Genomic DNA, 14099 nt, shown 5'->3' with positions numbered 1-14099 from the left:
CACTGGGCTGGCTTTCTGAATGTTAAGGAAGTGTGGATCCTCACAAATTTGGCAACATTGCCTTAATCCCAACCTGTCTTTACCTCTCAAGATCAACTCCTCTCCTGCCTGCAGGAAGATATGGGCAGAGATCACAAAGAAAAGCATCCAGCTCTGGACTTCTTAGAATTAGTGTAGGGGAAGCTGGGCAAGGTGGCTCATGCCTGTAATCCCCGCACTTTGGGAGGCCGAGGTGGGCAGGTCACTTGAGGCCAGGAGTTCAAGTCAACATGGTGAAACCCTGTCTCTACTAAATGTACAAAAATTAGCTGGACATGGTGGTGCCCCTGTAATTCCAACTACTTGGGAGACTGAGGCATGAGAATTGCTCGAACCCAGGAGACAGAAGTTGCAGTGAGCCAAAATCGCGCCACTGCACTCCAGCCTGAGTGACAGAGTGAGACTGTCTCTTAAAAAAAATTATAATTTAGTGGACTGCAGAATTCAATTGCTATTAAATCAAGTTATGAGTTCTTATCTTTTAATGACAAGATTAGATTTATAAACAAATATCAGTACTGCTTACTTATAAGATTCACTGACAGCCACAGACTAATTCCAAGGCAGACCCTAAATGTATTCCTGTTTCAGGAACTGTGTATGCATTTCAAATGTGTGCGCACACATACTCCAACTGGCTCACCTGTCTCCATTAGTTGTGATTGACTCAAACTTGGACTTTTTCTTTGGGATTTCATTTTGAATTGAAGATGTAGAAAGTGTTTTCTGGCTTTTAATGGCAAAAATAGAGAGACACACATTAGAAATCAAAGATTAACAAAACATCACAATGAAAGTCTGTCAAATAGACCAATGTTAAGACAGCAGCTCTTCTATGCAAGAGCTAATAATTCTTGATTAATAAAGAATCTACCAAGGTGATGATTTTGTAGGCCTGGATGGATGGGTAGCTAGTTTCCACAGGATCAAAAAAAAAAATTCTTGGCCTTAATTAATTAAATATTACCTGCTTTATTAATAACCATGAGAACAAATATCAATAAAACTTCAATAAGAGGCCGGGTGCGGTGGCTCACGCCTGTAATCCCGGCACTTTGGGAGGCTGAGGCAGGCGGATCACGAGGTCAGGAGATTGAGACCATCCTGGCTAACACGGTGAAACCCCATCTCCACTAAAAATACAAAAAATTAGCCAGGCGAGGTGGCGGGCGCCTGTAGTCCCAGCTACGCAGGAGGCTGAGGCAGCAGAATGGCTTGAACCCCGGGGGCGGAGCCTGCAGTGAGCCGAGATCAATCCACTGCACTCCCAGCAATCCACTGCACTCCAGCCTGGCGAGACTCCGCCTCAAAAAAAAAAAAAAAAAAAACTTCAATAAGAAGTATAATCTGTCTTCTAGTTTAAAAAGTTCTTTTGGCTGGGCGCGGTGGCTCACGCCTGTAATCCCAGCACTTTGGGAGGCCGAGGTGGATGGATCACGAGGTCAGGAGATCGACACCATCCTGGCTAACACTGTAAAACCCCGTCTCTACTAAAAATATAAAAATCAGCCGGGTGTGGTAGCGGGCACCTGTAGTCCCAGCTACTTGGGAGGCTGAGGCAGGAGAATGGCGTGAACCCGGGAGGCAGAGCTTGCAGTGAGCCGAGATTGTGCCACTGCACTCCAGCCTGGGCGACAGAGCAAGACTCCGTCTCAAAAAAAAAAAAAAAAAAAAAAACTTCTTTTACATTTACTGTCTCACATGCATCTTATAATTCTGTGAGGTATAGATAAGTTATTATTTCTACTGTACAGAAATAGCTCAAGATCAACTTATCTACCAAGACACATATAGCTAGTTAGAAGTAAAGCTGGGACTAGAAACCAGGTCAATATATTTGAACTCCTAGTCTAGTTTTATTTTTATTTTTATTTTTTTGAGATGGAGTCTCACTCTGTCACCCAAGCTGGAGTGCAGTGGCACGATCCTGGTTCACTGCAACCTCCGCCTCCTGGCTTCAAGTGATCCTTCCACCTCAGCCTCCCGAATAGCTGGGACTACAGGTGCGCGCCAGCCACCACACCCAGTTAATTTTGTATTTTTTGGTAGAGACGGGTTTCACCATGTGAGCCAAGCTAGTCTCGAACTCCTGACCTCAAGTGATCCACCTGCCTCGGCCTCCCAAAGTGCTGGGATTACAGGTGTGAGCCACCACACCCGGCCAGTCTAGTTCTTCTTCACTATATTTGTGTTAACCTACTGGTATCTCAGTCAAACTACAAGACTAAAAATCAGTTTTAGCCCCAATAAGTTCACTCAAAACTGGTCTTGAAACAAAAGCTGGAACTCTGTCTCTGCTATGCAATCCTTTCACTTTGATGGGTGTTCAACAGCCAAGTTCAAAGGATTCCTCAGACCTTTTCTTACTTGACCTCTCTTCAGCATTTGATACCACTGATACTGCATCCTTCTTCAAATGTTCTCCTCGTTTGGTCATCCCACTTTTGTGACAGCTGCTTCTTAGTTCCTAAAACTTAAATACTGAATGCTTGTAGAGTTCCATTCTCAGCCCTGAATCTGAATTACATCATTTAAGAGCATGATTTTAACAACTACCTATCATAAGTGGTTGGAAATGGTGTTAACTATATCACCTGCATTAGAATCATCTGGGATGTTTATAAAATAATGTAGATTCCTGGCCTCTATCCTAGGTCCTACTGAATTAAATTCTGGGGTGGGACTGCTGCAGGAATCTGCTTTTTAATTTTTTTTAATTTTAGAGAGAGTGCCTTGCTCTGTTGCCCAGGCTGGAGAGCAATGGCATAATCATGGCTCACAGCAAGCCTCAAACTCCAAGGCTTAAAGCGATCCTCCTATCTCAGCCACCCAAGTAGCTGGGACTACAGGTGTGTGCCACTACACCTGGCTAATATTGTTTTTTGTAGAGATGGGGTCTCATTATGTTGTTCCTGCTAGTTTCAAACTCCTGGCATCAAGCAACCCTCCCACCTCGGCCTCCCAGAGCGTTGGGTTTACGGGTGTAAGCCAGCCAATGTATCTGGCCGGAATCTGCATTTTCAAATAATCCCTACCCCCAGTGATTCTTTTTATTGTTGCTGTTTCTTTTTGAGATAGAGTCTCGCTCTGTCACCGAGCATGGAGTGCGGTGGCACAATCTCAACTTACTGCAACCTCCGCCTCCTGGGTTCAAGCGATTCTCCTGCCTCAGCCTCCTGAGTAGCTGGGATTACAGGCATGCAACACCACACCTGGCCACTTTTTGTATTTTTTGTTTTAGTAGAAACAGGGTTTCACCATGTTGGTCAGGCTGGTCTCGAACTCCTGACCTTGTGATGCGCCCGCCTTGGCCTCCCAAAGTGCTGGGATTACGGGTGTGAGCCACCGCGCCCAGCTAGATTCTTATGTGCTACCTATGGCCCATGTCCAAACCTCTCTTCTAAGTTCTAGGCTAAGCTCCTAAAAGTAATTCTTCATGCTTCAAACTCAACTTTCCAAAACTAGACCCATTTCTCCCCTTCCTACATTCTCTCTCAGTTAAGGCTCTATCTATTCACCCAAATAAGAAACCCGGGAATTATCCTTTACTTACTCAGCTCTTGCCCATGTGTCTGTTCATCAGATTATCTGTTTCTCATAATTCTCCATCCAAAACATCTTCCTGAATCAACCTTTTCAATCTTCCACTGCCACTGCCTCAGGTGAGGTTCTTGTTTTAACATCTCTTACCCAAACTCTTAGAAAAAAGCCTTTAATTAGCCCCCAGTCCCTTTTTCCTCCAATGCATTTTCCACACTAGTAGTCAGGGTTAATTTTTTAAATGAAGATTTGGTCTCTCCTCTGCATAGATCCCTTCAATAGCTTCCCACTAACACCCTGACCTCAGGATCAAGTTTCCATTCCTTACCAGGATGCAGGACCCCTTTTTCCTTCCATTCCCCAGCTCCCAGCCAAAAGCTCCAGCAATATAAAAGGACTTACAATTTTCCAGGGTTCCATTTGGTCTCATGCCCTCCATGCCTTTGCAAATGCTATTCTCTCAGCCTAGAATGCCTCTGCCCATTCCTTCCCTGAGGATTCCAACTCGTCCTAAGATCTAGCTCTAATGCCAGCTCTTCTCCAAGCCTGCTTGCCTGACTTCTCAAGGCAGTTAATTACTACCCTCATGTCTGCATTCTTGACACGTTTCCACTGTGGTACCCGTTACATTATACTAAGATCATCTGTTTATAAGTCTGTCTTTCCTACCAGACTGCATACTCTTGGAGAGCAGCATGACTTGTATTCAGCTCTTCATTCCCACCAGCATCCCTGACCCGTGAGAATACTTAATGCTTGCTGATTAAACAAAGTCATAATGGTAATAACAAAACAAACAAACAAAAAAACCTGAAATGTATTGAATATTTTCTATATGCCAGTTATAAAAACAATCACTGTGCATGTACTATCTAATTTATCTTCACAACAACCCCTTGAGGTAATACTATCACTTCCCTCATTTTACAGATGAGAAAACTTGCCCAAGATCCCCGCAGAGAACCTGGCAGAGCCAGCATTCCATCCAGAGCCAGAACCGTTAACAATACTAGATACTCTGAAAGGACGCTTAAAACAACAATGAAAAGACATCTTTTTGACTAGGTGCCACCAGGACAAACCTAGGACATCTATCAGCCTCCTGGCTAAATATGCATTGAAAAAGCTGTATCTCTCAGAAAGTGAAATGTCCAATTTTCTGGAGAGAGAATCCACTCTAAGGGTGAGAACACTACAAACGAAGTTCCACAAACATTTCAGACACAATACAAAGTCAGGAAATCCTGACACTTTATGGAAATCTCTCTGGTCCTTGGAAGATATATGAACTATAAAATATGACAAATGAGCTTCCTCCTACAGACTAGTACCTACAGAGAATATAGAAAATGTATATGAGATGGTAGTATGTACCATGATGGTTATGTGAGCATTACATCTGACCTACCAGCACTTCTAGTCCCATCTCATGTGTCTTGAGGTTACCTGTTATAATGGCCACCACCACTCAGGCGACTATACTGCTCCTTCTCCTGGTGGCCAGCACGAGAAGAGCTACTCAGGTGTTTCCTCTGCTCTTTGGTCTTCTGAAGGACCCGTTTGTATGAAAGTGTGCACAGCCAGCACAGCAATTTCCCATCTACCTGAAAGACAAGGAGACAAAGATAAAGAAGAGGGAATTTAGCGCAGTGGCTGCAAACGTGGTATTGGGAGCTAGAATCTTTGGGTTCAGTCCCAGTTCTGAAACTTATGTGCTGTGACTTTGGGCATGTCACAGGGGGCTGCTACAAGGATCTAGTGACATAATGTAGGTAAAGCACTTAACATAGTGCCAGGCACATAAAAGTTGCTTAATAAATTTCAGCTGCCGGGCCGGGCGCGGTGGCTCATACCTGTAATCCCAGCACTTTGGGAGGCCAAGGTGGGTAGATCACGAGGTCAGGAGATTGAGACCATCCTGGCCAACGTGGTGAAACCCCGTCTCTACTAAAAATACAAAAATTAGCCAGGCATAGTGTCGTGCACCTGTAGTCCCAGCTACTCAGGAGGCTGAGGCAGAAGAATCGCTTGAACCCAGGAGGCGGAGGTTGTGGTGAGCCGAGATCGCGCCATGGCACTCTAGCCTGGCAACAGAGCGTGACTCCATCTCAAAATAAATAAATAAATTAAATTAAATAAATAAATTTCAGCTGCTAATTTTATGTATTTTTGTTTTGTTTCTCTTCAAGTTAGCAAACACAGACGAGTAAAATTCTCACAAGACCACGGTTCTCATTAAGGAAAACTCAGCAGGGAGAAGAGAAGACAGAAGATGAATTATAAAATTCACATTTACAGTTTTTTGGATTTTTTTTTTTTTAGTGATAGGATCTCACTCACCCAGACTAGAATGCAGTGGTGTGATTGTAGTACACTACAACCTTAAACTTCTGGGCTCAAGCAATCCTCCTGCCTCAGCATCCTGAGTAGCCAGGACTACAGGTACATGCCACCATGCTCACCTAATCAGGTGTTCGTTTTTTTTTTTTTCCCCAAACAGGGTCTTGCTCTGTTGCCCAGACTGGAGAGCAGTGGTATGATCTCAGCTCACTGCAACCTCCACCTCCTGGACTCAGGCAATCCTCCCACCTCAGCCTACTGAATAGCTGGAACTACAGGTGTGCACCACCATGTGTGGCTAATTTTTGTATTTTTTTGTAGAGACAGGGTTTCACCATGTTGCCCAGGCTGGTCTTGAACTCCTGAGCTCAAGTGATCTCCTGTCTTGGCCTCCCAAAGTGCTGAACTTACAGGCGTGAGCCACTGCACCTGGCCATTTTTTAAAAAATGACAAAATTTGTATATATTTATTGTGTAAAACATGTTTTGAGATATGTACACTTCAGGAAGCTGAGGCAGGTGGACTGCGTGAGCCCAAGAGTTCGAAACTACTCGGGGCAATGTGGCAAAACCCACCTACAAAAAGAAACACAACAAAAATTAGCCAGGTGTGGTGGTGCATGCCTGTAGTCCCAGCTACTAGGGAGGCTGAGGTGGGAGAATCACTTGAGCCTGGGAGGTCAAGGCTGCCATGAGCTGTAAGCATGCCACTGTACTACAGTCTTGGTGACAGAGCGAGACCCTTTCTCAAAAATGAATAAATAGATATTTTTTAAAAATGTATACATTGTGGAATGGCTAAATCAAGCTAATTAACACGCATTACCTCATATAATTTTTGTTTGTTTGTTTTTGAGACAGAGTCTTGCTGTGTTGCCCAGGCTGGAGTTGCAGTGGCACAGTCTCAGCTCACTGCAACCTCCATCTCCTGGGTTCAAGCAATTCTCCTACCTCAGCCTCCCAAGTAGCTGGGATTACAAGCGCCTGCCATCACACCCAGCTAATTTTTTTTTGTATTTTTAGTAGAGACGGAGTTTCACCACGATGGCCAGGCTGGTCTCGAACTCCTGACCTCGTGATCTGCCCGCCTCGGCCTCCCAAAGCGCTGGGATTACAGGCGTGAGCCACTGCACCTCGCCCAGTTGTGTTTTTGTTTGTTTTTTTGTGGTGAGAACATTTAAAATCTACTCTCTTAACAATTTTCAACTATAATTTCAACTATAATTTTATTAACTATAATCACCATGTTGTACAATGGATCTCTTCAACTTATTCCTCCTATGTAACTGAAATCCTTTGGCCAACATCTCCCCAAACCCACCCTCCTATACCTCAGTTTTAATACTTTATAAATGGTTCACAAAGTGGTATGCTGGATACCATCTCTCAGATGGAAAGATGGTCCCCAGAGAAAGAACAATGAGTGAACAGCTTCCAGGGCCCAGTCCCTCGTGGTGGCCTGCCATGGCACTGTTTGAATTAGAAAAAGTTGACTCCTTTGAGCAAAAGTAACTCTGCACCATGGAGCAGGGCCCAAAGCTAGGAAAGCATAACATGGCTTCTGCCACCCTCTGAAGCTGTGGTGTCTCTGTGCAGCATTCAGACTGAAAAACCACTGGAGGACACACTAGGACAGGTGACAGGGCAGCAGGGCTGGTTGGAATTTCTCAGGTTAGACAGGGAGTATGCTGATACATTATGGAATTTTACAGTTTTCATTTCTTATTTCTGAAATTAGATCTTGTGCCTCATCTTGAACATGGGTAGGCCACGTCATCATTTACCTGAAGTGTTTTATTTCATTGGCAAAAGCCTCTTTGCTCCCCATCCCCCAACCCATCAGTAAGTCCATCAGTCTGAATCTACTCACTTCTTTCTAACTCCACTGCTTCCATTTTACTAAAGACATACTCATCTCTCACTGCTGTGAGAGCTGCCCAAATGATCACCCTACCTCCAATAAGCTATTTCCCCATAGCCGCCAAAGGGTTTCTTAAATGTAAATGATTACATCCTCTCTCTTTTTTTTTTTTTTGAGATAGAGTCTCACTTTGTCACCCAGGCTGGAGCACAGAGACACTGTGTTGACTCACTGCAACCTTCGTCTCCTGGGTTCAAGCAATTCTCCTGCCTCAGCCTCCCAAGTAGCTGGGATTACAGGCGCCCACCACCACGCCTGGCTAATTTTTTTATATTTTTAGTAGAGATGGGGTTTCACCACGTTGGCCAGGCTGGTCTCAAACTCCTGACCTCAGGTGATCCACCCACCTTGGCCTTTCAAAGTGCTGGGATTACAGGTGTAAGCCACCGTTGCCTGGCCTGTTTTTCTATTTCTCTCTACTGTAAAATGGAAAAAAAATTTTTTTTATAGTGTAGCTAATATGCCCTCCTTAGGCATTAAGACACATTTCTGTTTGTAACCTTAATGCAGCCATATTTTTACTCTTTATGAAAAATCAAGTGGGCGCAGTGGCTCACACCTGTAATCCCAGCACTTTGGAAGGCTGAGGTAGGCAGATTGCTTGAGACCATGGTGAAACCTTGTCTCGACAAAAAGTACAAAGATTAGCTGGGCGTGGTGGCACATGCCTGTAGTCCTAGCTACTTGGAAGGATCGCCTGAGCCTGGGAGGCTGCGGCTGTAGTGAGTCTAGATTGTACTACTTGTACTCCAGCCTGGATGACAGAGTGAGACTCTGCCTCAAAAAAAAAAAAAAAAAAAAAATCAAATCTCCCAATAAAAACTGGGTATTTCACCACATGAATTGTTGTTGTTTTTTTTTTTTGAGACGGAGTTTCGCTCTTGTTGCCCAGGCTGGAGTGCAATGGCGTGATCTCGGCTCACTGCAACCTCCGCCTCCCAGGTTCAAGCAATTCTCCTGCCTCAGCCTCACGAGTAGCTGGGATTATAGGATTATAGGCATGCACCACCACGCCCGGCTAATTTTGTATTTTAGTAGAGATGGGGTTTCTCCATGTTGAGGCTGGTCTCGAGCTCCTGACCTCAGGTGATCCTCCCTCCTCGGCCTCCCAAAGTGCTGGGATTACAGGTGTGAGCCACCACACCCGGGCCCCACATGAATTGTTAAATTGCTTCACTAAAAATGTAGTTAGACATGCCAATTTGTAACCTCTTAGAATATTCTGCACAATCAATTTTAATCATTAGAATGAATAATTGCTCAGAAAAGCAGTATTGCCTCAGCTGCAATATGATTTGGTAGTCAATATTCCTGTTTTCTGGTAAAAAGGAGATCTCACGAGCAGCAACATTGGGCTCCTTGTGGTCTCACTGATCAAGAGAATGTTTTTGAGTGGCTTCTGAACATATATTTCTTAACAAGTCAATCACAGATCTGGGGTCCTCACTCCTCATAACAACGCTTCCAGACATAATCATGTTAGCTCCTGCCTCTGCACACTTGTGGACAGTGTCAGGACCTACTCCACCATCGACCTCTTATCCAAAGATGGGAACTGGGTCCTCAACCAGTGAATGTTTGGCACCATATCATCCATGAATTTCTGCCTTCCAAACCCAGGTTCCACTGTGATAACCAAGGCCGTATCTATTTGATTAGTCCATGGTGCCAAATACTCAACTGTAGTTCCTGGTTTGATGGTAAGGCCAACCTTCATCCCATTCTCCCAAATGTCTTCAATCAAAGCCTCTGAGTACTTAGTAGCCTCAAGATGAAAGGTGTACTGACTGGCTTCTGCTATAGCTATTGATTTTACCCACTGTTCCAGCTTGGACACCATCACATGTATGTCAAAGAAAAGGTCCTGGACTAGCTGCTTTTGAAAGCTTTCTACCACAGGATAACCAAAGGTGACGTTGGGAACAAAGTGCCCATCCATGACATCCAGGTGGACCCAGAGTCTAGAATACGGAGGCACTTGACCCCTAAACTGGCCAGGTTGCTGTTGAGGATGGGCGAGCCAATCTTGCAGCCTAAAGCCATAGCACTGGCTCCCAAGGGTAAGTTACCCTATGAGTCCATCTTCTCTCCTTAAAACCCAATGGTTTCTCATCATAGCTTAAAATTCAAACTCTGTACCATAGCCTATTTTTTTTAACATTATCATTTATTTATTGCTAACATGAATTCAAAGCAAGTATGCATTTTTGTGACAGGGTCTCACAATCTCGCCCAGGCTGGAGTGCACTGGTGCAATCTTGGCTCACTGCAGCCTCGACTTCCCAGGCTCAGGTGAGCCTCCTACCTCAGCCTCCCAAGTAGCCGAGACTACAGGCGTGCACCACCACATCCTGCTAATTTTTTGTATTTTTTATAGAGACGGGCTTTTGCCATGTTGTCCAGGCTGGTCTCCAACTCCTGGGCTCAAGTGATCCACCTGCCTCGGCCTCCCAAAGTGCTACGATTACAGGTGTGAGCCACCACACCCTGCCATATGCAGTTTTTTTTTATACTAGAACAAATCAGAAAATCGAGACATAATTGCCATCATCAAATCTTAATCCTTAGAGAAAAACATTTCCACGAGGTTGGCCTGAAGACACTAAGATTCTACCAGTTTTTGAGGTGTTCCATATTTAAGTAGTGTAGGCACTGTGGTTACTTCCAAGTTTTTTCTGAAGTCATTATTTGGATCTTTCCAATAAGGCTTTTCTTCTACTTGGCAGTAGGCGAACACACATCCTTCACTAACATGCTTCAGCCCCTGGTTCAGCATGCATACAATAGGGGCACCAGCTTTTCCTCCAGCATCCTTAGAACTGATAAAGTAGGTGAAAATGGTCTTGTCATTGTGGCGTTCCACAGCCCAGGTGAACTCCTCAAAGCTTCACACACACCTCCTTGTAGTGTAGTGGGCTATCTGCAGTGTGCCTCATGGCCTATGTTGACTTAAATATAGCCCCTTACCTGCCTCTATAACCTTGTTTCCTTCCTTTTCCCCAGGTTCACTCCATCTTCTTTCTGTTCTAATCATGTGCCAAGCTCATTCCTGCCTTAAGGATTTTCCACAGCTGGTCCTTCTTCCTGGAATTTTTGTCCTCCAGAGCTTCCCATGGCTACCACCTTTTCATCATCCTAGTTTCCACTCAAATGTTACTTCCTCAGAGGTTCTCCTGATTGCCCAATATAGGCTGACTTCCCAGTCACTCTCTGTCATGTACTTTATTTCTTTATAGCACTAATATCTAAAATTTATGTTAATTTATTTTTCTCCTCACCCTTTTCTCTTTCACACACATAAATGTAAGCTCTGTGAGAGTAAGGTCTTGTCTGTTCAGTTCATTAGTTTATTTCTAATACCTGGAACAGTGTCTGGTACATGATAGGCATTTAATTTTTTGTTAAGAAACGTAACAATGAACTTTGAAACCAAACTTCAATCTGGTTCATTTCACGGTTATGGGATACGACCTGAAAGTCTGTTTATTATTATTAATATTATTATTATTATTTTTTTTTTGAGACAGAGTCTTGCTCTGCCACCCAGGCTGGAGTGCAGGGGCGTGATCTTGGCTCACTGCAGGATTCAAGCTATTCTCCTGCCTCAGTCTCCTGAGTAGCTGGGATTACAGGCATATGCCACCATGCCCGGCTTATTTTTGTATTTTTAGTAGAGACGGGGTTTCACCATGTTGGCCAGGCTGATCTCGAACTCCTGACCTCGTGATCCACCCTCCTCAGCCTTCTAAAGTGCTGGGATTACAGGCGTGAGCCACTACGCCTGGCCTATTATTATTTTTTTAGAGACAAAGTCTCACTATGTTACTCAGGCTGGACTCGAACTCCTGGGCTCAAGTGATCCTCCCACCTCAGCCTCTAGGGTAGCTGGAACTACCACAGGATGCCATCAGGCCTGGCTTGAAGACCTAATTTTATTTATTTTATAGATAGGGTCTCATTCTCTCACCCACATTGCAGTGCAGTGGTATAATTACAGCTCACTGGAGCCTCGTACTCCTAGGCTCAAGAGATCTTCCCACCTCAGCCTCCCAGGTAGCTGGAACCACACATGCACCACCACGCCTGGCTAATTTTTTTTTTCTGTTTTTTTTTTTTTTTTTTTTTTTTGTTGTTGTTGTTGTTTTGAGATGGAGTCTCACTCTGTTACCCAGCCTGGAGTGCAGAGGCACGATCTCAGCTCACTGCAACCTCTGCCTCCCAGGTTCAAGCGATTCTCCCACCTCAGCCTGCTGAGTAGCTGGGATTATAGGCACATGTCACCATGCCCGGCTAATTTTTGTATTTTTTGTAGAAACAGTGTTTCACCATGTTGGCCAGGCTGGTCTTAATCTCCTGACCTCAAGTGATCTGCCTGCCTTGGCCTCCCAAAGTGCTGGGATTACAGCCGTGAGCCAACGTGCCCGGCCGAGATTTTTGTATTTTTAATAGTGACAGGGTTTTGCCATGTTGCCCAGGCTGGTCTTGAACTCCTGGCCTCAAGCGATCCGCCCACTTCAGCCTCCCAAAGTGCTGGGAATACAGGCATGAGCTACTGCACCTGGCATTTAAGGCATAATTTTAAAACACCCTGTAAGACCTTCCCCAGGTAAGAGCTTTCATTAAAGGGTTTAAAACAATACAACTCTACTAAAAGAGAACAAACAATGAATATAAAAATTGCACATAGATCCACAAGACATTTTTTTCAGATCTGTCTCTTAAAAATAAACTTTAGAAATAAAAGAGCAGGCCGGGCACGGTGGCTCATGCTTGTAATCCTAGCACTTTGGGAGGCTGAGGCGGGTAGATCACCTGAGATCAGCAATTCGAGAGCAGCCTGACTAACATGGAGAAACCCTGCCTCTACTAAAAATACAAAATTAGCTGGGCATGGTGGCGCATGCCTGTAATCCCAGCTACTCGGGAGGCTGAGGCAGGAGAATTGCTTGAACCTAGGAGGTGGAGGTTGTGGTGAGCCGAGATCGTGCCATTGCACTCTAGCCTGGGCAACAACAACAGCGAAACTCCGTCTCAAACAACAACAACAACAAAAAGAAATAAAAGAGCACTGGCCAGACGTGGTGGCTCACATCTGTACTCCCAGCATTTTGGGAGGCCGAGGTGGGCTGATCACTTGAGGTCAGTAGTTTGAGGTCAGGAGTTCGAGACCAGCCTGGCCAACATGGTGAAACCCCATCTCTACTAAAAATACAAAAATTTAAAAAATAAAAAAATAAAAAAATTAGCCAGGCGTGGTGGCGTGCACCTGTAATCCCAGCTGCTCTGGAGGCTGAGGTAGGAGAATCACTTGAACCTGGGAGGCAGAGGTTGTGGTGAGCTGAGGTCGTGCCACTGCACTCCAGCCTGGGTGATAGACTGAGACTCCATCTCAAAAAAATAAAATAAAATAGCATCCTCTGAGATTTAAACTATCAAAAACAAATCATCATAGATAACACTGAGTATTTTTCATGTACCAGATTCCGTTCTAAGAGTTTTACTAGTATCTTGACCTTTGTAACAGCACTAAGATCTGATCATCCCCTTTTACAGATGTGGAAACTGAGGCATTGATAGATTAACATGCCCAAAGTCACACAGTTAATAAGTGACAGAACTAAGATTTCAATCCACACATTCTGAGTCCAGATACCCTCCCCGCTTTCCTTTTTTTTGAGATGAAGTCTTGCTCTGTTGCCCAGGCTAGAGTGCAGTGGTGTAATCTTGGCTCACTGCAACCTCTGCCTCTCAGGTTCAAGTGATTCTCCTGCTTCAGCCTCCCAAGTAGCTGGGATTACAGGTGTGCGCCACCACGCCCGGTTAATTTTTTTATATTTTTGGTAGAGACGGGGTTTCATCATGTTAGCCAGGCTGGTCTCAAACTCCTGACCTCGTGATCCATCCACTTCAGCCTCCCAAAGTGTTGGGATTACAGGCACAAGCCACCAGGGTTGGCCCAGATCCCCTACTCTTAATCCCTAAATTTAGCTCTCTCCTAAAGTTTATGAACATGTAGATGTCTAAAAATATCTAAATACTTGAGACAGGATTGTAATTTATAAAGCAGAAAGGTAATGAATTCTAGTATAACCAGATTAGTAAAAATGAACTATTCCTATCAGTAATAATACAGGAGCCATTTACTCAGTTATATTATGTGCCAGGTTCAATATTGTTTTATATACCTATCTGAATTACATTTCCCCATGTGTTTGTGAAGTAACTACTGTTATTCCCATGGAGAAAGATGAAGAAAGTG

At 44.3% G+C, this 14099-nt stretch overlaps 1 protein-coding gene and 1 pseudogene across 6 annotated transcripts in view; both read right to left on the bottom strand.

Annotated features, from left to right (window-relative positions):
• The window catches only part of FAM76A (family with sequence similarity 76 member A), a 37156-nt gene that overhangs the window by 13280 nt on the left and 9777 nt on the right, over positions 1-14099 (bottom strand). For 3 of the 6 annotated variants that reach the window (NM_001143912.2, NM_152660.3, XM_017000543.3), the window contains 2 exons: positions 5026-5183; positions 683-769 (listed from right to left, as the gene is read on the bottom strand). In NM_001143912.2, coding sequence (NP_001137384.1) covers positions 683-769; positions 5026-5183 — 245 coding nt within the window. The remainder of the gene's footprint in view (positions 1-682; positions 770-5025; positions 5184-14099) is intronic. The other 3 variants (NM_001143913.2, NM_001143914.2, NM_001143915.2) reach the window with 1 other exon arrangement.
• On the bottom strand, positions 9005-9907 carry RPEP3 (ribulose-5-phosphate-3-epimerase pseudogene 3; annotated as a pseudogene).

Source organism: Homo sapiens, chromosome 1 (assembly GCF_000001405.40).
Source record: "Homo sapiens chromosome 1, GRCh38.p14 Primary Assembly".
Taxonomy (NCBI): Eukaryota; Metazoa; Chordata; class Mammalia; order Primates; family Hominidae; genus Homo; species Homo sapiens.
The sequence above is the reverse complement of the archived record's forward strand: the minus strand, read 5'-3'. Positions and strand labels throughout refer to the sequence as shown.